Below are 27,180 nucleotides of genomic sequence, written 5' to 3' on the forward strand. Positions count from 1 at the left end.
GGTCTCAGAATGACTTCCTTGAGAGTCCTGTTCCCCTTTCATCAATGCACAGATACAGAAGACCCCTCCGTCCTGGAGCACCTGCCATGAGCATCAGCCTCCTGTGCTGTGCAGCCTTTCCTCTCCTGTGGGCAGGTGGGTCCTGGACAGGGCCCCTTGCATAGATTTCAAGGCCCAGCCCCTTTCCATTGGGGCTGCAGCATCAGCTGTTTCCTTCTCTGCAGGTCCAGTGAATGCTGGTGTCACTCAGACCCCAAAATTCCGCATCCTGAAGATAGGACAGAGCATGACACTGCAGTGTGCCCAGGATATGAACCATAACTACATGTACTGGTATCGACAAGACCCAGGCATGGGGCTGAAGCTGATTTATTATTCAGTTGGTGCTGGTATCACTGACAAAGGAGAAGTCCCGAATGGCTACAACGTCTCCAGATCAACCACAGAGGATTTCCCGCTCAGGCTGGAGTTGGCTGCTCCCTCCCAGACATCTGTGTACTTCTGTGCCAGCAGTTACTCCACAGCGCTACAAGACCATCTCCTCTCTGCACATAAAGGCAGGGTGGCTCTGCCCTCCTCCCCCACCCAAGACTCAGGGATGACCTGGGCAGAGTTTTCTGCAATGGGGACCTTGGAACCCCGAGTGGCCCTAAGTGGCCCGGACAGTATGAGCCTCAGTCTGTGCCAGGTGCTCCTGCAGCCATCTCAGCCAGGCCTGGACTGGTCCCAGGTCCTCAGATGTCTCCTTTGTTGCTCTCTCTGGTCTATCCTCTGAGCTCTCCTTTTGGGGTTGGGCCAGGGCTTCCCCAGCTCCTACTTTTCTACTCATCATCCTGACTCCGAGGCCCCCAGGATGAAACAGGATTTGTATTTCAGATCCATCTAGGCTGTCCTCTCCCTGGTGAGCATGCTGCTTCCTCTATCTAGAGTTTTCCCCTCCCCCACCCCACCCATGGTCTGTCCTGTGGCCTATCTTTCCCATCTGGGCAGTCACCTTCCATCCCCCGCCTCCCCGCCCCTCTCTACTGCAGCCATGGGGGGAGCACCTCTTCTGAGACTCCTTCCTTCCCATCACAGAGACTTCAAAGGCCATTTCCTCTGCCCTGGATGGAGACTTCCTTTCTCTAGTGGCCAGCTCCTACCTGTGCTTCAGATCTCAGAATGATCTGCCCTCCCGCAGGAAGCAATCCCTCACCGCCCAGCTGAGATCAATTTTCCTCTCATAAGCTCTCATAGAATCATATGTCTCTTAGTAACCCTTAGGACAATTAGGCTTTCTCAGATACTTGTCTGATGATTTTTGTGCTCTACCCAATTTTTTTTTTTTTCTGAGACAGTCTCACTCTGTCACCAGGCTGGAGTGCAGTGGCATGATTTCCGCTTACTGCAACCTCTGACTCTGATTCAAGTGATTCTCCTGCCTCAGTCTCCCGAGTAGCTGGGATTACAGGCATGTGCCACCATGCTCAGCTAATTCTTTTTTGTATTTTTAGTAGAGATGCGGTTTCACCATGTTGGCCAGGATGGTCTCGATCTCCTGATCTCATGAACCACCTGCCTCGGTCTCCGAAAGTGCTGGGATTACAGGCGTGAGTCACCGTGCCCGGCCTCTCCACTCAATTTTTGAGCCCATGAGAGCTAAGGCTGTGCCTGCTGCATTAACAACATCAGTGCCTGGTGTGTGGGGATACCCATTTCACAGAGAATGGATGAGTGAACGAGAGGCTGAATGAGTGATGAGTGGGTGGACGAACCAATAGTAGGAACACACTACATCTACTGTAAACTGGCAGAGGTCTAGCATTAAGTACAAGAAAGCCCACCCCTTTGATTGCTGGGCTCAGGTCGATCTTGGAAATTGATGGGGAATCACTATCATGGCGGCCACATCTGGCTCAAGGCTTTCTCTTGTGGCTGCAGTACCTGACCTCCTCCAGGTCTCTGTGCTCTCTTTCAGGGTCTTTCCCCACAACAAATCTAGACAGATCAGAGATCCACTTCTAGAATTCCATCCTTAAAGGTTGTTCCTTGAAACCACTTCTGGTAAGAAAATCTCCATTAGGTTTGCATCAATAAAACAGGGCCACTACAAGTTTGAGAGTGTAACAGATTTATGATCAGAATTAGACTTTATGCATATGTGGGAGGAGCTGAGGAAGACAAGGTCTGGAGGAGAGAAGTCAGAAGGTGAGGGAGCCAGTCAGTAGTCAGGGCTCCTGAAGCTCTGGGCAGGACAGGCTAGAGTGGCAGGGACATGAGAGGATCAGAGCATACCAGGACATGCAGTGGGACCTTGAGCCGGGAGCACAGGAAAAGGCCAAGGAAACCTGCTTCTGGGGAAGCTGTTCCTTGTCTATGGGGGCCACCCCTGCAGGTGCACTGCCAAACACTGTGGGCAGCCTGGCTGCTGTTGGCCAACATTTGGGAAGATGAACTGGACACAGGGTGCAGAAGGAACAGGACTTCCGAGGTCTGTTGGATGCCTCTGTATCTGCTGGTCACTGACTCTCACTGTCTGACCACAATGACTTGCCAATTGTTATAGTGACTGTTTTATATCTGTCTTCTAAATTTTACCAAATGTATCCTTGACCATCTCTAACCAGAATGATAACAGAAATGGCATTCTGGGAAAGTCAGACTCTTCATTTGCAAAGTTGACTTAACACAATCCAGCACAGGATGGATTCTCCCAGATTAAGGCATCAGATCACACAACTGTCTCGACCTGCCACGGTCCATGGACTCCTCTCCGGGGGACACCTGTGCTGCCCAGGTGAATGTGGACACAATTTGTATGTAGATGTTCCAGACGCTGGTGACTAACTTTTCTTTTAATACTGTGTCTGAAGTCTCTCTCACCCAGAGGGTCTATATATGTATGAGTATATATGTATTTATAAATATGTATGTGTAATTTCTCCTTAGAAGAAAATGTCATGATGACTACATGGCTTAATGGCATTTATTTATGAAAGAGCTTTATTAAAAATAATTAGAAAATTTGAATTCTATTCTGAATTTTTCCTTGGGAGTGTCCTGAGAGCATTTTTGACCCTACCGACCTTTGTCATGTGTGTATTTGGCAGCCTAGAGTGCAGCAGTTATTGGCGCCATACATTAGGGAGTTAGACTGGAGATGGCTGCAAAATGACTGACTCTTAGTGTTATTCACTCTCACTCTGGGCCTCACTGGAATGTCACAGACTACCATCGAACAAATGGATTCCCAGTATGAAGAATATTAGGAGATAGCAATGAGGAAACATGAGCACAAGCAACAAACATTTGAAGTGCAAACCTGAAGACTCGAAATGTTGGCATTATAAGATATGAAAGTTTGGTGAGCTACATTTAAATGAACATGACGGGGAACTGAAACTAGGAAAAAGACAATGCCTGAAACCATCAACTTTCATAACAATTGTCAAAAAATATATCTAGGAATGCCTCATACAATCACTGAAAACAAAATGGAAAGTCAAACAGTTGATTAGCTCCTCCTACAGAGATTTTTAGTGATTTCAAAGATGGATCTGCAGGAGTGATCTAGAATGCAGCATGGAAAATGAAAAGTGAAATATGAAAGAAGTTAGAGAACAGGGAAGAAAAAAATGGATGTTTCCCATATATTAGAATATGCATATTTTTCATAATTTCCCATTTTTTGTTGCATATGATTGAATTTTCAGACAGATAAAATAGGTAGAATGTTATGAAGTGATATTTATGAGATGTTAGCTGAGAAGTTTTTTGAGGTGTTTAAGGACCTAAATTCAGAGTTTCCAGAATCACAATGAATCTCAAATAAGGCAGTCAAGTCATAAGCAAATTGTAGAACATGACGGACAAAGAGAAGATTTTGAAAGCCATCAGAAAGAAAAGACAAATACGTCCCATAGGAATAGATGGAGAACAACAGTAAGTTAAGACAGTGGTAAAAATAACCATTAGCTCAATTATCATTCTCCTTCATTTAAGGTAAGATTGATTAAAAAAAATAACTTTTAGAAGGGGAACATGAAAAATGACCGCTGTGAGTTTGCTATCAAGGTTTCTTTTCTGAATTACAGTTAAGAAAGGTGGGAAATGATCCCAGAAGAAAGGCATGAGGGCAGTTCGTGAGGTAACCCAAGTGATGGGGCTGCCCCGTTGGGCACGTGTGACTGAGGGAATGGAGGAGGCTGGGGCATAAATGGGGATGGCAGAGGGGACCCTGAATTGCAGGATAGACAATGAGCTAATGCCTTGGTGCCTTGTTTTGGGGATGCTGTTGGCACATCCTACAAGACATGCCCAGCAGACAGAGGAGTGGCTGTAGGATGAGAAGATGAACTCAGAGATGCAGTGTGAGGCCTCTGGCTCCAGACAGCACGGGAGCCCAAAGCAATGAGCCAGGCATTGATGTTGTTAAAAAGGAGCTTATAAATATTTAAAGTGTGTTCTAATATAAATACTGTGACCCTGACATCCTGGGGATTGAGAGAGGAAGTGATGTTACTGTGGGAACTGCCCTGTGGAGACAAGGACATTCCTCGTCCTCTGCTCCTGCTCAGAGTGACACTGATCTGGTAAAGCCCCCATCCTGGCCTGACCCTGCCATGGGCACCAGGCTCCTCTGCTGGGTGGTCCTGGGTTTCCTAGGGACAGGTGAGTCCTCAGAACATTAAGTAGTTTTATTTTTTCTCTGTGTGTAGGTGTGTGTGTGTTTGTGTGTGTGTGTGTGCGATGACTACAGATGTTTTCCTTATTCTGTTGCCAAATTCTATTTCCACAGATCACACAGGTGCTGGAGTCTCCCAGTCCCCAAGGTACGAAGTCACACAGAGGGGACAGGATGTAGCTCCCAGGTGTGATCCAATTTCGGGTCAGGTAACCCTTTATTGGTACCGACAGACCCTGGGGCAGGGCCAAGAGTTTCTGACTTCCTTCCAGGATGAAACTCAACAAGATAAATCAGGGCTGCTCAGTGATCAATTCTCCACAGAGAGGTCTGAGGATCTTTCTCCACCTGAAGATCCAGCGCACAGAGCAAGGGCGACTCGGCTGTGTATCTCTGTGTCAGAAGCTTAGCCACAGTGTGGCACAGTCGTGTCCTTCCTGCTCACAAACCTCATCCTTCTCTCTCCTTGCACCTCCTAGAGACCCTTAATAGAGGCCTATCTTTGATCCTCACTTTTCGTGGGAAATAAGTAGAATTGGACATCGGCTGTCCTTTGGGTAGAAAGAGACCACAGATTCATTCCTGAAACACAGTGACTGCAAATGTAGGTGGTGAAAACAATCACGTCCCACTGCCCTCTAGGAGTGCTTGGAGCCAGCTCACTGCTCCAAACGGAGTGGGTGTCTTAGCCTTGGCCTTCAGGGCAGACATGCATCTTCTATAGGTCTTGGAGGCTGCTGTGTTACCCACATATATGAGGTTGTCAAGGGCAGGAAACATGCTCTTCTCCTGCATATTTTGGGGCATCTGGAAGGTCTGAGGCTACATCCCCAGGAATATCTTTCTTCTAAAGCCTCTTCTATTCCTGTCACCTTGGAAATTTTTGCAACAAAATATCGAACCTCTCTTCCTGTTTAAAGTAAAGGTCTTTGCAACTTTCGTGGTCTTTACTTGATAAATACAATCATGGTAACAATAAGACTTCATTTCTTCTGCCTACTTTAAGCCACTTGTATCCTTTATTTTATTTCCATTTGCCATTGCTACTGTCCTGATAGACAGAAGCATGCATTCACCACTGCTGCCTGTTCACATCGATTCCCTCAGGAAATCTGATTTTTAGACTCTGAGTGTTTTCATTGTTGTCCAACTCATTTGATTTGAAATAATTTTACCGAGGCCTTTAACTCAAGAAGTGTTTTATTTATAATATTGAATCTATTCCTTTTTATTTTATTTTTCATAATAGATAGTACTATATAGTACTTGTTATAAATAGAAGTACAATGATTATATTGCAATAGAATCTTCCACCTATCTGTGGGTGCTGCTGCAGTGTGTATCTGTGAAAGCGAATGCACTGGTCAGAGCTGATGTGATTATGGATCGTGGGTTTCTGGGAGTCCTTGGCGACAGACCACTTCTCCAAGTGTGGGACTCAGTGTCCCAGATGCAACCATGATAGAGGTGCCCTGAGTCTTTCATAGCTAGGAGGGGCATCATAGTCCTTCCAAATTCACTGATCAGAAATTGTGGTGGTACAGATACCAAATTTCTTTCTCCAGAGAATGATGGTCACTGGCAGGGAGTTGCTCTTGACCCATTTTTTCTTGTGTCGTCATCAAATCCCTCCTTGCTCAGGTGCCCTGTGTCTCCTGGGACTGAGTAAGTCCAGAGCACAGATGGGAATTCCCTGTCTTCCTAGACCCTTTGTCTAACTGCTGCCACTTTCCTCCATGTGACTCCTGAGATAGCTGGTCCTAACAGTGGACAAGCTCTGACACTGAGGCTGAAGAAAACACAGTCTATAGTTGTCAACGGCGCTGCAAGAACATGTAGCAAAAACGAGCAGGGCTTCCAATTTATACTGAGAATGAACATGCAAGAGGAGCAAAGGGTAGATGGTACTAATGAACAAATAGCAAGGAATGCAGTTTCTGTTCTAATGAAGTCATTCTGTTGTCTTAAGTTAAGTAGGAGAAAACTTTCACAGTAATTACATCAAGTCAAAGGCTAGCGGCTCCCCAACCAACCAACATAGCTATTTGCTCTGTGATCTTGGCAGCTTCAGAGGACTCAGAAATCCTTTCTCTGCACAAACATCCCTTTGTCCATTCCAAGATCCAGGATCACACACTGATCCTATCATGAAAACAATGAGGTGTGCTATAGTTGCTGTGGCCTCATTTTAGTATGTTGAGTAGGAAGCATTGACGAACTTTGAAAGCTTTGCTCTTGAGTCTAGGGATGTGCTGGAGCCAGCTTGTATGAGTCAGAAGAATCAAATAGGCATACTTTTCCCAGCTCCCTGTTCAGTGAAGCCATGCTGGGAGCTTGAAATCTGCCATGGTGGGTATGTTGGTACAACAGAAATTAGCAAATGCTACCAGCCATGCCCCCACCTTCACAGACACCCAGTTTATCAGCACATCACTGGAGTATTTTCTGATGTCCCTGTTATGCCATGTCTTTTAGGGACAAAAGGGCTCAGAATTTATGTCTCCTCTACTCTGTTCTTAGAAGCCATCATCTAAGGGGGCCTTGATTGCTCCCATTTCTATCCAGCTCCCAAATTCTCTTGCTCTGTAGCTCTGTGTCTCCTGCAAGCACGCCAGTCTGGAACATGACAACTATTTTGAATGTAACTAAAGGTATCACTGAACCAGTTCATTATTTACAAATTATCTTTCCTTGCATGGAATATTCAGATGCTGGAGTCATTGGGAACAGAGATGGCCAAGCAGCAACTCTGGGTTGTGAAACACTTACAGCCCCGCTATTCTTCTGTGGCAACGAGAGACCCTGTAAAAAGGACAATTTTGCTTTGGAGACTAAGCAGCTCCCCACCAGTCAGGAATGACTCTGCTTTTACTTTAGGCTGAGAGGTCAGAAGGGTCACACCCTCAATATTCTCCTCTCCAAGACGGAGTGTGGCCACTCTCCATCTCAGTCCCTGGAAGTTGTCCAGAGCTCCCCGAGAATCCCTGCTCTGGAGGCAGAATCACCAAGGCTCATCCTCACCAGCTCCCCACAGGCTCCAGCAGGGCTTTCCCACCAGGTGCAGGGCACAGGAATGGCTCTGCCTGTCTCTTAGGTAGAGGGAGGCCAAACAGTGATGTTTGTATAAGAGGGACTGGGGTTCTGGGTCTCCTTTAAAGTATTTGACAAAATTTTCTTTGTTTTTGTTTTATTGTGCCATCTCACCAATGAGGAGAGCAATCCCTTGGTAGTTATATTGTTTTTGGCACTTGGGAAGGTTTTTGTGGTTAAGCCACATTAAGAAATTGTGCCTTTACAGGAAATTGTGCTGTACAGGAAAGTTCAGCTGTAACCCAAGGCAGTGAAAGAAATAGCAATAATTTTGAGAGCAGTTACTTGGGTATCTATGATAAAGGTGTTAAGTTTCATTGCCTACATCTAACTTTCAGTCTAGTGGAAATGAAAAGGCACAGTTAGGGGGCATGTGAGCATGCCATGAGAGAGATCGATGCCAATTGAGAAGTCTGTGCCATTCCCCAATACTGTGGGATTGAAGGGGAGGGAGAGATGACCTCTCCTTCAGACTGTGCTCAACAAGGAGGGAGTGGGAGTTCATCCATGGGAATCTGACGAGGAGCAAATCCCAGGGGCCTCTAACTCAGGGTGCAGGAGCAAATCCTTGGAGAGGAAAATGGTCCAGTTCAGCTGTCACAGGAGACAGGAGAAAGCAAAGTCATCTAATCCACAGTCTCCCGGCTGATTTGCTTCCTTATGATGCTATTTTGTACCAGCGTGTCCTCATCTCCCGCTGCTCCTCTGCCTGTTTCAGAATCATCTCTTCCGTGTTTGGTGCTCAGATCAGTGGATGTGCATTGTACAAGCTGATCATTTCCTGTAGCAGCCCCTTTGCTAGTCTTAGTTATATCCATCCTTATTTTCTGCATTAGGTACTGCTCCCTCCACCATTCATTGCTTATTGCCTTGTAAGAGGTCTCGTTTTATATATTTCAATTTTACTTTTTATTAATAGATATTTGACTTCATCTTTTGCTGATCTATACTTTTGGGGTAACATTGTCATTTTTGGAGGACGATTTGTTTATCTTTAGTGATTCAGATTAAATAATCTCTTTATACTTCAATGTCTGTGTTTTCTTCCTATTTTAAGCCAAATATTATTTCCTTTCATTCCTCTCCTTCTGTTACTCTTTCTTTAGATGGTAGTTTTAAGGGAGAAAAAGTTAAACTATAACTGGACCTATGTGATAAGTGTTATTCAGAATGAGGGTGGGATATTAAGATTGGTAACTCAAAGCAATAATCAGGGTTAGAACTAATGTTAGACTTAGGGTTTAAGGGAAGCTGCTCATAAAACCAGCGTGATGGCACTTCTGGAATATTCTGGCAGCTTCCTCTGCAGACACTTCCCAGCATTCCTTGGGCCATTACAGAAGAAACAATGTTGAAACTTCACGTATTGGCCACAAGATGGCAGTGTGGTCCACTGAGCTCGAAAGGTCTCTGGGGAGTCTAGGAGAGCATCCTAGGAGGGAAAGGGTTAAGAAAAATTAGGGCTTGGATCCTGTATTATGCAGATGTTGCAGCAGCTTTCAGTTATTGCTAGGCTACCTACAGCTATGCAAGAGACGGGAAGTCCCTCTAATCTTTAATGACATCTACAGTTGAGGAATTTTGGCCGGGGCAAATTTTGGTCAGGGGCAGGTGTAGAGGAGCAACTGCCTCAGAGGAAAAGGGAAAAGCGAGGGGTGGGCTGTGTCCTGAGCCCAGTGCGTCTCTGCTGCACCTCATCTTCCCTGCAGGTCTGGCCAGGCAACAGCTTTAATCTGCTTGAGTGATCTGGAATTCTAGAAGTTCAGAAGTCGTACTGATAACATCACCTTGGCTGAGATTCCATTGGACACCAGGCATGTGTTCTCTGGAGGACAAAAAATATTGAGAACAAGCTCTAAAACACCTAAGTAAACAGACTACAGAAGAAAAATGTTAGTAGATGCACCAAACTGTGCCGTTAGACCTGATGATAATTGACTAGTAGAATTACCAAAAAGAGACTATAAATAAGTCTCCACTAAGTATTTGTGTTATTGAGAGCAGTGTTTAAGTCTTCTCAGGGTAGATTAAAGAAGGAATTCAGCTATTATCATGACTTTGGCTTGGATGAAAATCCATGAAGTCCTCAATTGATTTTCTTGTAAAATATTACAGAATAATATTGAGCAAACATTTTATTTTTCTCCAGCCTGTATCCCTCCTTAGCACTAACAGGTAAAGCGAATACCTAGAGGCAAGGTTTCTTTAGTTGGGATCCATTAACTGCAGGACTGGGAGGTCCAGAGCTGGGCTTCACAGGGAGTGCAAACCCCACGTGCAGGGAACCCCGTGTGTCTGTGCTGTGCCCAACTCCCCTCTGTGAGGCTGTCGAAGGGAGAGGGCCGGGTCACCCGGGAACCCCACTCACAAAGAGGGGAGCAGGCTGCTTGCTGGGCAAAAAAATCACTTCACCAATTGGCCAATCTGTTGAAAGCCAAAATGAAAGGAAAGTCTGAATGTGAGAGTGATGAATGCCCAATTTTCCAAGTTATGAAATGTATAGCAGCTCATGGTTGTCAGAATGATTTCAACAGCATATAAAGATATTGTAAACAGCTTTTGTTTGTCTATAGCTTTCCTTGATATTGATCCTCAGTTGTTTTTCAGCCCACGCATCAGTTGAGCTTATTTTGATACCAAATTTTAAAGTTGCCACTTCAGTCACCAAGCACTTCTCACATTCTCCATAACTTACAGATATGTGTGCTCCTGTCTTTTCTTATTTTTGTGTGATTCATTTTTAAATTGGGCTGTACAGAATACAAGCATACATTTGTAAATGACTCCCATATTTTATGCAATTAACTGTTTACTTTTTAGTAACAATTTTATTTAAGGTTTAACTAATAGAGATAAAAACAGAAATATTAATACAAGGACAACATGGTAAATTTTGACAAATGCATATGCCAGAGCAACGGTAACTGAAATGATTATAAAAAAATTTCCGTCATGCAGGAAAGTGTCGTCATGCTCCGTTCCAATCAATTTCTATCCCACAGATAAAAACTTTTCTCAGTTATTTATTTATTTTGAGACAGTCTCACTCTGTCGCCCAGGCTGGAGCACAGTGCTGTGATCTCAGCTCACTGCAAGCTCTGCCTCCCGGGTTCATGCCACTCTGCTGCCTCAGCCTCCAGAGTAGCTGGGACTACAGGCGCCCGCCACCATGCCCGGCTAATTTTTGTATTTTTAATAGAGACGGGGTTTCACCGTGTTAGCCTGGATGGTCTCGATCTCCTGACCTCGTGATCCACCCACCTCGGACTCCCAAAGTTCTGGGATTACAGGCATGAGCCACGGCGCCAGGCCAAAACTTTTCTTATTTTTATCACCATTGACTAGCTTGGTCTATTCCTGCACTCCGTATAAATGGAATCATATAACATTTTTATTGAGTTATTTTCCTCCAAAATTAGTATTTCTGAAGTGTATTCATATTGTTGTATCAGCAGGTCATTCTTTATTATGACTAATATTCCACTGTGTAAATATACCACAACTTGTTTATCCATGCTCCCGTTGATGGATATCCATGTTACTCCTGTCTTCAACTATTATGAATAAAATTGTTGTGAATATTCTTGTGGAATTCTTTCTTGTGGATATATGGATTCTTTTTTTTTTATTTTCTTTTAGGTATAGACTTAAGAGTGGAAATACTGACTCACAGTGTAGATGTGTGTGCTATGCTTGCGTGTCCCCACAAAATCTCATGTTGAAATTTGTCAATGTAATGGTATTGGGAGGTGGGACAGTTATCACTAGGTCATCAGGGATCTGCCCTCAGAAACAGATCAACGCCCTATTGTGGGAGTGAATAAGTTGTCTTGGGAATGGTCTTCTGATAAAAAGTATGAATTCAGCCACTTTCTCTGTCTTGGGTGCTTGCTTCCCCTTCTTTCTGCCTTGGATAATAGCAGGAGGCCCTCAGCAGTTATGGCCCTTTGATCTTGGACTTCCCGGTCTCCAGATCTATAAGCCAAATAAATCCCTTGTCTTTATAAATTACCCAGTCTGTGGTATTTCTCTACAGCAGTAGGAAAGAAATTGAAAGAAAACATGGTGCTGAGAGTGGCGCTGTTGCTACAACAAGGACCTGAAAATGTAGAAACAGCTTTGGTTAATGGCAAATGGGTAATGGATAGAGGTTGGAAGAATTCGGAGAAGCAGACAAGCAAAAGCCTAGATTGCTGAAATAGATCATTAAGGGTAATTCTGGTGAAGGCTCAGGGGGAAATGAGGAACAAGATATCGGAAATCAAAGTAAATGCTATCCTTGTTGTAGGTAGCAAAAACCTTGGAAAAATTGTGTCCTGTTCTAGGACTTTCTGGAATAAAAATATTATGAGCTATTAGCTAGGATATCTACTGAAGGAAATATCTAAGCAGCTAAGCATTCAGGCTATTGTGGACTACTTTCAGGCACCAGGAAATTTAACCCAGCAAGAAAGGAGCCAAGGGAATAGATTTTGCAAACCAGCACAGATGGTGACACTACCTACCTCTGCTGTCCTGTCTCCAATAAGACAAACTCGCTCTGGAGTTAGAGAAAAGAGGAGCCAGTTAACATAATACACTGGGGTCAGCTTCTGAAGGCAGGGTGGATCTGAAGGGAATAACATAAACTGTCCAGAGCACTACGTATAGGATGACCTTGAGGGTGCTGAGTCCCAAGCTGGCTAGGTCTGTGCTATGAGCTGAGAAGGCCCTAGAATTATTTCTGGGGAATCTGAACTCTTGATAATTTACAGACAACACAGGTCTGCTTTGATTCTGATCAGATGGACTAAATCTTGGGGACTCTGCACCGCTGGCCACTCAGGAAATGGGTTGGGAATGTTGCCTGAGACAGGAAAATATGATAAGAAACATGGTGTGAATCTAGCATCAGAAAGATGATGTGAGGACAGCAAGGAAGAACTGCAACTTGAGGTTTAATCACAGGCTCCTCATCCTCCCCTGATGGGCAGGTGTGTGAGCTCCAGGATGGAGTACCACAGCACTAGGTGGGAGAAGGGTGATAGGGTGGTGGGGCTGCCTGTGAGCTGGGGCAGTGTAGGTAGAGGAGCAACTGTATCACCACAGAAGCTTCTGCCTTCACACATTCCTCCAGCTCTGCAGGACAGGTTGAGTCCAGGGTCCGTAGTGCGCTAGACTTAAGGAAGGCTGCATGGGGAGGACACAGGACAGTGACATCACAGGATACCCCTCCCATCAGGAAAATCAAGGCTCAGAACTCACTGGGTTCTTCCCCAGGAGGACCAAGCCCTGAATCAGGTGCAGTGCTGCCTGCCCCACTGTGCCATGGGCCCTGGGCTCCTCTGCTGGGTGCTGCTTTGTCTCCTGGGAGCAGGTGAGTCCTGGGCACAGGACAGCAGCCCCATTCTCAGCTTTTCCACCCGTGTCCTCCACTTTACCATGGAGAAGACCTCCAGGCTGTCTCCTGAGCTCATCCTCCATCTGCTTTTCCCACAGGCCCAGTGGACGCTGGAGTCACCCAAAGTCCCACACACCTGATCAAAACGAGAGGACAGCAAGTGACTCTGAGATGCTCTCCTATCTCTGGGCACAAGAGTGTGTCCTGGTACCAACAGGTCCTGGGTCAGGGGCCCCAGTTTATCTTTCAGTATTATGAGAAAGAAGAGAGAGGAAGAGGAAACTTCCCTGATCGATTCTCAGCTCGCCAGTTCCCTAACTATAGCTCTGAGCTGAATGTGAACGCCTTGTTGCTGGGGGACTCGGCCCTGTATCTCTGTGCCAGCAGCTTGGCACAGCCCGGCAGAATCACTGACATTCTGTATATAAACTTCCTGCCGTAACTTTGACTTGAGAGCTGCAGGCCCCACCCAGGTTTCACTCCTTCAAGGGAAGCTTTTAGTTGCTTGGAAGGCATGTCTTGTGTCCTACTGAGGGCAGACCTTTCCCAACCAATAGAGCCCAGGTTTCCTGTGCCCTGAGTGTGCCTGCTTCTGTGCTGCATCTTCTTGCAGCTTGTCCCTTCCTGGGTAACTTCAGTATAAGAGTGACTGCTGAGCGCTTGGTGTGTGCTAGATTTTTGTATATGTTACATATCTTAAAGCTTTTCCACAACCTTGCAAATCAAACATTCTCATCCTTCCTTTACAGATGGGAGGCTCAGGGACATTGAGTCATTTTCCCCGGTGTCTCCTGGCTTGTAAGGATCAGAAGTGGGAAACAAACTAGTCCATCCATTTTCCACCTACCCCCCTGTTTCATCACCACCTTCTGTATCCTGTTCAGTAAACCAGAGCCCTCACACTGCCCTCTAGTGACCAGCAGGGCCGCAGCAGAGGCTCAGATGTCTTCAGGGGGTTATTACTATGGCCTCCTAATTAGCAATTTTGAGGAATGTTAAATTTCACACTTTTTAAAAAATCATTTATATGCATTCCCTTTATCTTTCCCATGTCTGTAGCTTACATTTTCATTTTTATGGTGTTTTTTGATGTACAAGAGTTTAATTTAATGCCACAAAAATGAAAAACAATTTTGTTTGTGTGTAGACAAAAACTTCTTTCTCATATAAATGTCTAAACATATTTTTCTTAATTTATTCTAGTAAAATTTAAGTTTGGCTTTTCTCCATTAAGAAGAAATGTACCTGAAATATATCTCACGTCAGAAATAACATAGAGACCTAGGAATGGGAGGGAAGCACATATGTTCAGTGAAGAAGCAACAGCCTGTCAAAAAGATCCCAAAATGGACACCCTGCGCTGACGGTGGAGAGGTAGCTGGAGGGTAAATGATCACGAACTTTATCAAGCTGTTGTTGTTAGAAGAGGGACAGCCAGGAGCAGAGACCACATGGGTGAAGGTTTATGACTTGACTCTAGGTTGAAGGTTGCAGCAGGTAGAGGGCGGAATTGCAGGCAGAGGGCAGAGTCACTGGCTGGCAGGGGCAGTGGCATCACCAGTGACTCTACTGACATCCAGGAATTATGTCCCCAACACACAAAGTGAAAAAACTCCCAACAATCTGCACATTTTTCCCTGGCCCTGCTCTGGCCACCAGACTCCTCAGTGGTGTGGCCTTTTGCCTCCTGGGGGCAGGTGAGATCTTTAAAGACTTTTCCTTGGCTCACCACATCCTAGCCTAAGCCTTTACATCAGGTCTGCATTATTGGGGTCCCTCCTTGGTCACTCAACTTCCTTCTATCATAGACTTCACAGATGCTGGAACAACCTGATCCCAAGATACCAGAGAACAAAGGCAGGACGCGAAGTGACATGGAGATGCCTGAGACTGCCATCCATGAATACAGGTGCAGATGTTAATAGGAGCCGAAGCTGGTGCACAGCTGATCTGTCCCAGCCCACACTACAGAGAAATCCCTGAATGTCTTTGACTTCCTCTCAAAGCCAAATATGTGGCCTTGGTGTCAGACAGTCTCTCCCAGACCTCTGTGCCCTCTTGCACCAGGCTTTACCCCACAGCCACCTTCCTCTGCACACAAAGTTCAGTGGAAGATATAGGTGGCCTTGTCTTTACGAGATCGTGATCTGGGCAGTGGAAAACATTGTCCCATAGGAGTCTCCCCAACACTGCCCAGGCTGGGGCCTTCAGAGCTCGGAGCAGCTCTGTGCATATGAAACTCTGCCTTGTGTTGAGCTTCTCTGCCAGGCCAGTCTCAGCTGGACAAAGGAACGCACATCACCATGATGTGAGTAGATGCAGCCTCTCTTCCAGGCCCCTCCTGCAGCTCTGGCCTCAGAAGTCCTCTTTCTCAATTGCTCTCAGGAAGGAAAGTTCATTTGAAATTGTATATTTGCAGACAGCATTGACAACACAGGTCTACGTATGTCCAATCCCATCTTCCATTTGTAACAAATACAAACACTGTGGTGTGCTTCTTTTCACCCCTCTTTTCTGTGTTCATGCACACCTTTCTACCCAAGTACACCTACAGAAATTGGGTTCACCTGTACACTTTACTGGCCACATGCATACTCTTTTCTGTTAATATACCCTGGTCTTATTGTTCCAGATTGGTCGATATAGATCTAACTTGCTCCTATTAGCTGCTTCATATTGCATAATGAGGGTAGACAGGTACATTCATGCTCTATTGTCTGAGTCCTAAATTCTGCCAAATCTTTTCTAAAGTGACTGAATGACCTCTTTATGCTTCCAAGTTCTCCTCACCCCAGCACCCAGTTGATGAATGCAGCTTTTCCATCACTCATAATCCTAGCAGGTGTGAGAGCTTTATCAGTTTCTCCTGCATGAGGAGACAGGGAGAGATAAAAGGATAGATGTTTATCGAACCTACCAGAGCCTACACAGTATCTCAGTTCATCCTCATAAAGCATGGAGAGGAATGTGCGTCTTGTTTTATAGACGAGTCTAGATGTGGCTAGAGTCCAGGAAGGTTAATGAATGGCATTGCCCATGGTCTCAGAGCTAATAAATGGTGGAGCCAGATGGAGGACAGTTGGCTTGCCTCTGTGTAGAACTGATAGAGGGGTCACTGGAGTTTGAGGGAGGTGAAGTCTAGAACCATCTGGCGTTGTCTTCGGATCAGACGCCAGGGGGCAGTAGAGTCTGTGTACCCTACAGCACTGAAGGTAAAAGTATCATGGTGTTGGCAGTGGGGAGGTACTAGAGTGGGTATGTGGTTAGTGGCCAGGAACCAGAAGATCTGAACTTTGAAAAAATTTTTCCCATCACAAGACGTAGCAGAGACACTGATGTGGATAATCTAGGCCAGAGAACTGTGTGACGAGCTGTTCTTAAAATGAGGGAGGGAGGAGAAGCAACTAAGGGTCACTTCCTCTACATGAAATGGAGAGGAAAACAATGTTAACTAGAATCTCATCTGATTTTAGTCAGTTTTGCTTTGTAAGTAGTTGCAAGGTGGGACAATTTATTTTTGACATTAAGTAAACATCTATACGGCTTCTTTACCTTATGAAGTCTGGTGGTGAAGGCAAAAATGGTACGGCCAATGGAGTCACAGTTTGTTTAATAAATAACTCAGAGTTCAAATGGAGACTCTCATGGGCCAGAAATTGGTAAATGTTCCTGCATTCTAAAATTAGGAGGATCTTATTTTCTTTGAATCAACAGAGAAGGAAGCACAGGCAGTGGGGAGGGACAGTAGGGAACTCGGCAGAGTGGCCACAGAATGTGGAAGACAAAGGACATGTAATACCAAATTCTAAGCTGTGAAGTTGTGATGCAACCCTCCTCCTTCTCCTAATGTTTTTCAGGTCTCAGCACAGATGCACACCTGAGGGAGTAACTTCTTTGGAAATGAAGGACAAATAGCTGTGTAATAATAAGTCCACCTTACAAAGCACAACTGGAAATGGAAACAAGATTATTTCTAAGGCCTTTTCTACTCTAAGAGTAACTTAGTAGCAAGCTGAGAGGTGAGGATGGGGGGATGTTCATCCACACGCAATGAGTACCATGAGGCTCTACCATGAAGCATATAGTCCTCAGTGTGAATCAGAGCCCTAAGAAGAATAATGCCCTTTACATTGCTTTGCCCTCTGCCATCCTAAACCCATCCCACCCATAATTAAGCAGCCATGGAAATGAAGGGAGCCAGAAGGAATCAAACCCTGCTGCTTGGTTCAGTAGACAGAGGGACCTGGGGGCAGGGTGTTGGCTGGGTCTAGGAGAAGATGATGAGCTCAGAAAATAGACAAGGAGAAACCCCAGGGGAAAGCTTGTAAAATCCTGGAGGAATCACAAGATATATTATTTGAGCTCCTTTTTATTTATTACTAAATTAATGGCAGGAATCCCATATAAAGGGATATTCCTTATGAAACATGACATCTAAAGTACAAACAGAGGATTCTTCCTTACCCTAAATCCTGCCCTCTCTCCCTGAGTCTCTTACGCATCAGGCCACCTTTGTGCCCATAAGTCATGGGCAACGCAGTGTGGTCACCTTCATCCACACCTAGAGGACAGTCAGCAAAGTGAGGTGGTTCTGCCTGCTGCGGTCTCACCCCAGACATGGAAAGCAAGAGCCCTGGGTGGAGCTGAAGGTGCTCAGCTGGGTTTATCAGGAGTCTCATCTGTCAGTGGATTGACAAGAAACAGAGCAAAACGACTCCTCCAATGTTGATGAGCCTGCCCCTGGGTTTTGGAAACCTGATAACAGAGAAAACCAATATAGACAAAGGATTTTAAACAGGATTATGGTCAATTAAGCAAATTAGAAAAAGATACTTGAAAGAATATTTGGGACACAGGAGTCAAAAACACCAGGAAGACATGAGGAGTGTCCCTAAGACTCTAGACTACAGCACTGTGTAGACAACTAACACCAGAATATTATTATATTATCGAAGTAATAAAATTTACAGTGAATTACAAACTGTTTCCAAAAGGTCATGAAAATCTTGTAGACTTGTTTCAATTCAGACAAATGTGTTCTTCTCATTCTCAGCTGTTCACTGGTGCATTTATCTTGAATTTGACCATCTGGGGAATGGGCGTGGCCTCTCCTGACAGGAAGGCTCTGGGGGCCAGGCAGGGAGAATGATGTCTCAGAATGACTCCCTTGAGAGTCCAGTTCCCCTTTCATCAATGCACAGACCCAGAAGACCCCTCCGTCCTGCAGCCCCTGCCATGAGCCTCGGGCTCCTGTGCTGTGTGGCCTTTTCTCTCCTGTGGGCAGGTGGGTCCTGGGCAGGGCCCCTTGTGTGGATATCAAGGCCCAGCCCCTTTCCACTGGAGCTGTAGCATCAGCTTTGTCCTTCCCTGCAGGTCCAATGAATGCTGGTGTCACTCAGACCCCAAAATTCCACGTCCTGAAGACAGGACAGAGCATGACTCTGCTGTGTGCCCAGGATATGAACCATGAATACATGTATCGGTATCGACAAGACCCAGGCAAGGGGCTGAGGCTGATTTACTACTCAGTTGCTGCTGCTCTCACTGACAAAGGAGAAGTTCCCAATGGCTACAATGTCTCCAGATCAAACACAGAGGATTTCCCCCTCAAGCTGGAGTCAGCTGCTCCCTCTCAGACTTCTGTTTACTTCTGTGCCAGCAGTTACTCCACAGCGCTGCAAGGCTGTCTCCTCTCTGCACATAAAGGCAAGGGAAGGTGCTGCCCTCCTCCCCCACCCAAGACTCAAGGATGCCCTGTGCAGAGATCTCTGCACCAGGAACCTTGGAACCCAGAGTGGCCCCAAGTGGCCCGGACAGTATGAGCCTCGCTCTGTGCCACGTGCCTCTGCAGGCATCTCAGCCAGGCCTGGACTGGTCCCAGGTCCTCAGATGTCTCCCTTGTTGCTCTCTCTGGTCTGTCCTCCGAGGTCTCCTTTCGGGTTGTGGCCAGGGCTTCCCCAGCTCCTACTTTTCTACTCATCATCCTGAGTCCGAGGCCCCCAGGGTGGAAGAGGATTTGTATTTCAGATCCATCTAGACTCCTGTCTCTTCCTGGTGACCATGTTGCTTCCTCTCTCTAGGGTTTTCCCAGCCCCCACCCTCACGTAGTCTCTCCTGTGGCCCACCTTTCCCATCTGGGCAGTCACCCTCCAAGGCCTTGCTGGGTCTCTCCTCCCCTCACTTCCCCGCCCCTTTCTACTGCAGCTATAAGGGGAGCCTCTCTTCTGTGCCTCCTTCCTTCCCATCAAAGAGATTTCAAAGGCCATTCCCTCTGCCCTAGGCTAGAGGCTACCTTTTCTACTGGCCAGCGCCTACCTGTGCTTCAGATCTCAGCATAATCTGCCCCTCCTGCAGGAAGCACTCCCCCGCCTCCCAGCTGAGATCAACTTTCCACTCAAAAGCTCTCATAGAATCATGTGTCTGTTGGTAACCTTTAGCACAGTTGGGCTTTCTCAGGTACTTGTCTGATAATTTTTGTACTCCACCCATTTTTTTTCCCTATTTTTCCTTTTTTTTTTGAGACAGAGTCTCGCTCTGTCACCAGGCTGGAATACAGTGGCACTACCTCGGCTCACTGCAACCTCCGACTCTCCGACTCTCTGGTTCAAGCGATTCTCCTGCCTCAGCCTCCCAAGTAGCTGGGATTACAGGCACACACCACCACACCCAGCTAATTCTTTTTGGTATTTTTAGTACAGACAGGGACTCACCATGTTGGTCAGGATGGTCCCGATCTCCTGACCTCATGATCCACCTGCCAAGGCCTCCCAAAGTGCTGGGATTACAGGCATGAGCCACTATGCCCAGACTCTCCACCGAATTTTTAAGCCCATGAGAGCTAAGGCTGTGCCTGCTGCATTTACCAACATCGGTGCCTGGCATGTGGGGAGACCCATTTCACAGAGAATGGATGAGTGAATGACAGGCTGAGTGAGTGATGAGTGGGTGGACGAACCAATAGTAGGAACATGCTACACCTACTGTAACTTGGCAGAGATCTAGCATTAAGTACAAGAAAGCCCACCCCTTTGATTTTTGGGCTCAGGTTGGTCTTGGAAATTGATGGGGAATCACTACCATGGCGGCCACACCTGGCTCAAGGCTTCCTCTTGTGGCTACAACACCTGAACTCCTCCAGGTCTCTGTGCTCTCCTTCAGGGTCTTTCCCCACAACAAATCCAGACAGATCAGGGATCCACTTCTAGAATTCCATCCATAAAGGTTGTTCCTTGAAACCACCTCTAGTAAGAAAATCTCCATTAGGTTTGCATCAATAAAACAGAGCCACTACAAATTTGACAGTGTAACCGATTTATGATCAGAATTAGACCTTATGCATATGTAGGAGGAGCTGAGAAAGAGAAGGTCTGGAGGAGAGAAGTCAGAAAGTGAGGGAGCCAGTCAGTAGCCAGGGCTCCTGGAGCTCTGGCAGGACAGGCTGGAGTGGCAGGGACATGACAGGATCAGAGCATGCCAGGCCATGCAGTGGGACCTTGACCTGGGAGCACAGGAAAAGGCCAAGGAAATCTGTGTCTGGGGAAGCTGTTCCCTCTGTGTGGGGGCCACCCATGTACGTGCACTGCCAAACACTGGGGGCAGCCTGGCTGCTTTTGGGAAGATGAACTGTACACAGGGTGCAGAAGGAACAGGACTTCCAAGGTCTATTGGATGCCTCTGTATCTGCTGGCCACTGACTCTCACTGTCTGACCACAGTTATCTGCTATGTGTAATAGTGACTGTTTTACATCTATCTTCCAAATTTTACACAAATGTATCCTTGACCATCTCTAACCCAGAATGATAACAGAAACGTCACTCTGGGAAGGCAGACTCCTACCTTTGCAAAGTTGACTTAACACAATCCAGCACAGGATGGATTCTCCCAGATTAAGGCATCAGATCACACAACTGTCTCGACCTGCCATGGTCTGTGGACTCCTCTCCAGGGGACACCTGTGCCGCCCAGGTGAATGTGGACACAATTTGTATGTAGATGTTCCAGACACTGGTGACTAAGTTTTCTTTAATCGTGTGCCTGAACTCTCACTCCACCCAGAGGCAGGGCTCTGCCTCCTGCTTCTGTCTCCTTCCTGAGCTTCCGTCCTGCTGGAGTTGCATGGACATCAGAACCCTGGTCAGAGTGCAGCGACCTGTGGAGACAGTGGGAGGGAAGCTCACCTCTTGCTGTCTTCCTGGACCTAGTTCGGTTATACCCAAAGCAACTTCTCTGGTCTCCCTTTGGACTCTGCAGTATCAGAAATGTGCTTCATGAATTTGTAGCTGATCAGCTCAATGATTTGATGGCCAACCCAAAGTGAAATCCTAAGATCTGCAGAAATTGCCGGCATTTCTGTGAAGATGGCAAGAATACTGTGTGCTAGAGATGCCTTCTCTCCATGTAGAGACCTGGCCCCAAAACAAGACAGAGCAGAGAGGGCCAAAGAGCCCAAAACATGTCTCAGATGGTTGAAGGGCAATTTCCTAGGACAATCCTGCTGACAAAATTTCATCCCTCCTATTACACGCCTGACCACCCTTCTCCCCAGATCAGCTGAGTACCCAGGATATCACACATCCCAGCATCTTCTAACAAGGGAAAATTCTTCACATGCCAGCCTTCTTCCTGCACCACATTGACTAACCCTGGAAACTTCGCCTTTCCAGAAAAAAGCTGTCTTCTCTTGGCCCAGTCTAGCCCAGTAGGTTTAATTCATGATTTATGTGACCTTTTAATTTACTCAGAGGAGAACATATGATTTCAGAGTAAAGAATATTCATTTTACTTTGTATAAGTTGGACCTAAACAGTAAACTGAGTACTTCTCTTCCATCAGTGTCTTAAATTAGACAACGGTAAAACAAATCTTTGATGCAAGAACTTTAGGTCCTGGTGTTTTTCATATGGAAGATCCCAGCTATCCAGTCCAGGGCATGGAATAGATGAGCGTTAATAAGTCACTCTATGCCTGAGATGGTTTTCTATTGGCATCTTTTCTGAGTTACAGTTAACAAAGGTGGGAAATGATCCCAGAAGAAAGGCACGAGGGCAGTTCTTGAGGGAATCCATGTGATAGGACAGTCATTGGGCACGTGTGACTGGGGGAATGGAGGAGGCTGGAGCATGAATGGGGATGGCACTGGGGACCCTGACTTGCAGGAAATGCAATGAGCTCACCACTTTGTGCCCTATGTTAGGGGCGGTGTTGGTGCATCCTAGAGTAAATGTCCAGCAGACAAAGGAGCAAGAAGCGGCTGTGGGATGACAAGATAAACTCAGAGATACAGCATGAGACCTCCGGGTCCAGACAGCTCTGGAGCCCAAGGCGATGAGCCATGCATTGATGTTGTTAAAAAGGAGCTGATAAATATTTAAAGCAGCACCCAACTGTGTTCTAATAGAAATGCTGTGATCCTGAGGTCCTGGGGATTGAGAGAGGAAGTGATGTCACTGTGGGAACTGCCCTGTGGAGACAAGGACATCCCTCATCCTCTGCTGCTGCTCACAGTGACACTGATCTGGTAAAGCCCTCATCCTGTCCTGACCCTGCCATGGGCACCAGTCTCCTATGCTGGGTGGTCCTGGGTTTCCTAGGGACAGGTGAGTCCTCAGAACACAAAGTAGTTTCATTTTTTTTTCTGTGTGTAGGCGTGTGGGCGTGTGTGTGTGTGTGTGTGTGTGTGTGTGTGTGTGTGTGTGTGCTGACGACAAATGTTTTCCTTATTCTGTTGCCAAATTCTATTTCCACAGATCACACAGGTGCTGGAGTCTCCCAGTCTCCCAGGTACAAAGTCACAAAGAGGGGACAGGATGTAGCTCTCAGGTGTGATCCAATTTCGGGTCATGTATCCCTTTATTGGTACCGACAGGCCCTGGGGCAGGGCCCAGAGTTTCTGACTTACTTCAATTATGAAGCCCAACAAGACAAATCAGGGCTGCCCAATGATCGGTTCTCTGCAGAGAGGCCTGAGGGATCCATCTCCACTCTGACGATCCAGCGCACAGAGCAGCGGGACTCGGCCATGTATCGCTGTGCCAGCAGCTTAGCCACAGTGTGGCATAGTCGCCTCCTTCCTGTTCACAAACCTCATCCTTCTCTCTCCTTGCACCTCCTAGAGACCCTTAACAGAGGCCTCTCTTTGCTCCTCACTTTTGATGGGAAAGAAGTAGATTTGGACATCGGCTGTCCTTTGGGTAGAAAGAGACCACAGATTCATTCCTGAAACACAGTGACTGCAAATGTAGGTGGTGAAAACAATCACGTCCCACTGCCCTCTAGGAGGGCTCGGAGCCAGCTCACTGCTCGAAACAGGGAGTGGGTGTCTTAGCCTTGGCCTTCAGGGCAGACATGCATCTTCTATAGGTCTTGGGGGCTGCTGTGCTGCCCACATACATGAGGTTGTCATGGGCAGGAAACATGCCTCTTTTTCATATGTTGGGGCATCTGGAAGGTCTGAGGCTACATCCCCAGTAACATCTTTCTTCTGAAGCCTCTTCTATCCCTGTCACCTTGGAAGTTTCTGCAACAAAATATCAAACCTCTCTTCCTGTTTGAAGTAAAGGTCTGTGCAACTTTTGTGGTCCTTACGTGATAAAAGCAATCATGATAACAATAAGACTTCATTTCTTCTGTCTACTTTAAGCCAAGAGTATCCTTCATTTTGTTTCCATTTGCCATTGCTGCTGTTCTGATACACACAAGCATGCATTCACCACTGCTGCCGGTTCACCTTGATTCGCTCAGCAAATCTGATTATTAGACTCTCGAGTGTTTTCATTGCTGTCAAACTCATTTGATTTGAAATAAGTTTCCTGAGGCCTTGAACTCAAGAGGTGTTTTACTTATAATATTGAATCTATTCCTTTTTAATTTTCACATTATATATTGTTATATAGTACTTGTTATAAATAGAAGTACAATGATTATATTGCAGTAGAATCTTCCACCTATCTGTGGGTGATGCTGCAGTTTGTATCCATGAAAGTGAATGCACTGGTCAGAGATCATGTGATCATGGATCATGGGTTTCTGAGAGTCCTCAGGGACAGGCCATTTCTCCAAGTGTGGGGACTCGGTGTCCCAGATGCAACCCTGATAGAGGTGCCCTGAGTCTTTCATAGCTAGGAGGGGCATCATAGTCCTTCCAAATTCACTGATCAGAAATTGTGGTGGTACAGACACCAAATTTCTTTCCCCAGAGAATGATGGTCACTGAGGTGGAGTTGCTCTGGACCCATTTTTTCTTGTGTCATCATCAAATCGCTTCTTGCTCAGGTGCCCTGTGTCTCCTGGGACTGAGTAAGGCCAGCACACAGATGGGAATTCCCTGTCTTCTGAGACCTTCTCTCTAACTGCTGCCACTTTCCTCTCCGTGACTCCTGAGACACCTGGTCCTAACAGTGGACAAGCTGTGACACTGAGGCTGAACAGAACACAGTCCACTGTTGTAAATGGCGCTGCAAGAACTTGTAGCAAAAGTGAGCAGGGCTTCCAATTTATACTGAGAATGAACATGCAACAGGAGCAAGGGGCAGATGTTTCTAATGAACAAATAGGAAGGAATAGGGTTTCTGCTTTATTGAAATCATTCTGTTGTCTTAAGTAAAGCAGGAGAAACATTTCATTGCAATTACTCTAAGTCAAAGGCTAGCAGCTCCCAACCAACCAGCATAACTCTTTGCTCTGTGATCTCGGCAGCTTCAGAGGACTCAGAAATCCTTTCTCTGCACAAACATCCCTTTGTCCATTCCAAGATTCAGGATCACACACTGATCCTATCATGAAAACAATGAGGTGTGCTATAGTTGCTGTGGCCTCATTTTTAGTGTGTTGAGCAGGAAGCATTGAAGAACTTTGAAAGCTTTGCTCTTGAGTCTAGGGATGTGCTGGAGCCAGCTTGAATGACTCAGAAGAACCAAATAGGCATACTACTCTTCCCAGCTCCCCTTTCAGTGAAGCCATGTTGGCTGCTTGAAGTCTGTCATGGTGGGTATGCTGGTACACCACAAATTGGGAAATGCTACCAGCCATGCCCCCACCTTCACAGACACCCAGTATAGCAGCATATCCCTGGGGTATTTTCTGATGTCCCTGTTATGCCATTTCTTGTGGGGCCAAAAGGGCTCAGAATTCACCTCCCCTCTACTCCTGCTCTGAGAAGCCATCATCTAAGTGGGCCTCAATTGTACCTATTTCTATTCGACCTCTAAATTCTCTTGCTCTGTAGCTCTGTGTCTCCTACAAGCATGCCAGTCTGGAACATGACAACTATTTTGAATGTAACTAAAGGTATCACTGAACCAGTTCATTATTTGCAAATTATCTTTCCTTGCATGGAATATTCAGATGCTGGAGTCATTGGGAACAGAGATGGCCAAGCAGCAACTCTGGGTTGTGAACCACATACAGCCCCGCTATTCTTCTATGTCACCGACAGACCCTGAAACAAGGACTATTTTGCTTTGGAGACTAAGCAGCTCCCCACCAGTCAGGAATGACTCTGCTTTTACTTTAGGCTGAGAGGTCAGAAGGATCATGCCCTCAGTATTCTCCTCTCCAAGACAGAGTGTGGCCACTCTCCATCTCAGTCCCTGGAAGTTGTCCAGAGTTCCCTGAGAATCCCTGCTCTGGGACAGAATCACCAAGGCTCATCCTCACCAGCTCCCAACAGGCTCCAGCAGGGCTTTCCTGCCAGGTGCAGGGCACAGGAATGGCTCTGCCTGTCTCTTAGTTAGAGGGAGGCCATGCAATGATGTTTGTATAAGAGGGACTGGGATTCTGGGTCTCCATTAAAGTATTTGATAACATTTTCTTTGTTTTTGTTTTATTTGGCCATCTCACCAATTAGGACAGCAATCCCTTTACAGTTATATTGTTCTTGGCACTTGGGAAGGTTTTTGTGGTTAAGTCACATTAAGAAATTGTGCCTTTTTTTCCTGTTCAGATATAACCCAAGGCAGTGAAAGAAACAACAATAATTTTGAAAGCAGTTACTTATGCATCCTATGATAAAGGTGTTAAGTTTCATTGCCCACATCTAACTTTCAGTCTAGTGGAAATGAAAAGTCACAGTTAGGGGGCATGTGAGCATGCCCTGAGAGAGGCCGATGCCAATTGAGAAGTCTGTGCCAATCCCCAATACTGTGAGATTGAAGGGGAGGGAGAGATGACCTCTCTTTCAGACCATGCTCAACAAGGAGGGAGAGGGATTTTCATCCATGGGAAGCTGAGGAGGAGCAAATCCCAGGGTCCTCTAACTCAGGGTGCGGGAACAAATCCTTGGAGAGGAAAATGGTCCAGTTCAGCTGTCACAGGAGACAGGAGAAAGCACAGTTATCTAATCCACAGTCCCCTGGCTGATTTGCTTCCTTATGATGCTATTTTGTACCAGCATGTCCTCATCTCCCGCTGCTCCTCTGCCTGTTTCAGAATCATCTCTTCCGTGTTTGGTGCTCAGATCAGTGGATGTGCATTGTACAAGCTGATCATTTCCTGTAGCAGCCCCTTTGCTAGTCTTAGCTATATCCATCCTTAGTTTCTACATTAGGTACTGCTCCCTCCACCATTGCTTATTGCCTTGTAAGAGGTTTCATTTTATATATTTCAATTTTACTTTTTATTAATAGACATTTGACTTCATCTTTTGCTGATCTATACTTTTGGGGTAACATTGTCATTTTAGGAGGATGTGTTTGTTTATCTTTAGTGATTCACATTAAATAATCTCTTTATACCTCAACGTCTGTGTTTTCTTACTATTTAAAACCAAATATTATTTTCTTTCATTCCTCTCCTTCTATTCCTCTTTCTTTAGATGGTAGTTTAAGGGAGAAAAAGTTAAACTATAACTGGAGATATTTGTTAAGAGTTTTTCAGAATGACGGTGGGATATTAAGATTTTGGTAACTGAAAGCAATAGTCAGGGTTAGAACTAGTGTTGGTATGATGATTTAGGGAAGCTGCTCATAACACCTGCGGGACGGCACTTGTGGAATATTCTGCCGGCTCACTCAGCAGACACTTCCCAGCGGAAGAAATAATGATGAAAC

At 46.0% G+C, this 27,180-nt stretch overlaps 1 non-coding gene, 2 pseudogenes, 3 gene segments (V, D, J or C) and 1 further gene, besides 15 other annotated features; all 7 read left to right on the top strand.

Annotated features, from left to right (window-relative positions):
• TRB (T cell receptor beta locus) overlaps positions 1 to 27,180 on the top strand; it is a 514,277-nt gene that overhangs the window by 170,484 nt on the left and 316,613 nt on the right.
• Positions 87 to 519, top strand: TRBV6-6 (T cell receptor beta variable 6-6). The segment is given in 2 exon segments: positions 87 to 135; positions 225 to 519. Coding segments are annotated over 2 exon segments (344 nt in total), but the record flags the coding sequence as incomplete, so codon positions are not given.
• Positions 520 to 526: a recombination feature (RSS_heptamer).
• Positions 527 to 549: a recombination feature (RSS_spacer).
• Positions 550 to 558: a recombination feature (RSS_nonamer).
• Positions 4,602 to 5,073, top strand: TRBV7-5 (T cell receptor beta variable 7-5 (pseudogene); annotated as a pseudogene). Its single transcript is given in 2 exon segments — positions 4,602 to 4,650; positions 4,778 to 5,073. Coding segments are annotated over 2 exon segments (345 nt in total), but the record flags the coding sequence as incomplete, so codon positions are not given.
• MIR11400 (microRNA 11400) lies at positions 5,033 to 5,109 on the top strand. Its single transcript, NR_162121.1, has one exon. It is a non-coding gene; the product is annotated as a microRNA 11400 (primary transcript).
• Positions 5,075 to 5,081: a recombination feature (RSS_heptamer).
• Positions 5,082 to 5,104: a recombination feature (RSS_spacer).
• Positions 5,105 to 5,113: a recombination feature (RSS_nonamer).
• On the top strand, positions 13,061 to 13,525 carry TRBV5-5 (T cell receptor beta variable 5-5). The segment is given in 2 exon segments: positions 13,061 to 13,109; positions 13,232 to 13,525. Coding segments are annotated over 2 exon segments (343 nt in total), but the record flags the coding sequence as incomplete, so codon positions are not given.
• Positions 13,526 to 13,532: a recombination feature (RSS_heptamer).
• Positions 13,533 to 13,555: a recombination feature (RSS_spacer).
• Positions 13,556 to 13,564: a recombination feature (RSS_nonamer).
• Positions 18,369 to 18,801, top strand: TRBV6-7 (T cell receptor beta variable 6-7 (non-functional); annotated as a pseudogene). The gene is given in 2 exon segments: positions 18,369 to 18,417; positions 18,507 to 18,801. Coding segments are annotated over 2 exon segments (344 nt in total), but the record flags the coding sequence as incomplete, so codon positions are not given.
• Positions 18,802 to 18,808: a recombination feature (RSS_heptamer).
• Positions 18,809 to 18,831: a recombination feature (RSS_spacer).
• Positions 18,832 to 18,840: a recombination feature (RSS_nonamer).
• Positions 22,683 to 23,179, top strand: TRBV7-6 (T cell receptor beta variable 7-6). The segment is given in 2 exon segments: positions 22,683 to 22,731; positions 22,882 to 23,179. Coding segments are annotated over 2 exon segments (347 nt in total), but the record flags the coding sequence as incomplete, so codon positions are not given.
• Positions 23,180 to 23,186: a recombination feature (RSS_heptamer).
• Positions 23,187 to 23,209: a recombination feature (RSS_spacer).
• Positions 23,210 to 23,218: a recombination feature (RSS_nonamer).

This window comes from Homo sapiens, chromosome 7 (assembly GCF_000001405.40).
Source record: "Homo sapiens chromosome 7, GRCh38.p14 Primary Assembly".
Lineage (NCBI taxonomy): Eukaryota > Metazoa > Chordata > Mammalia > Primates > Hominidae > Homo > Homo sapiens.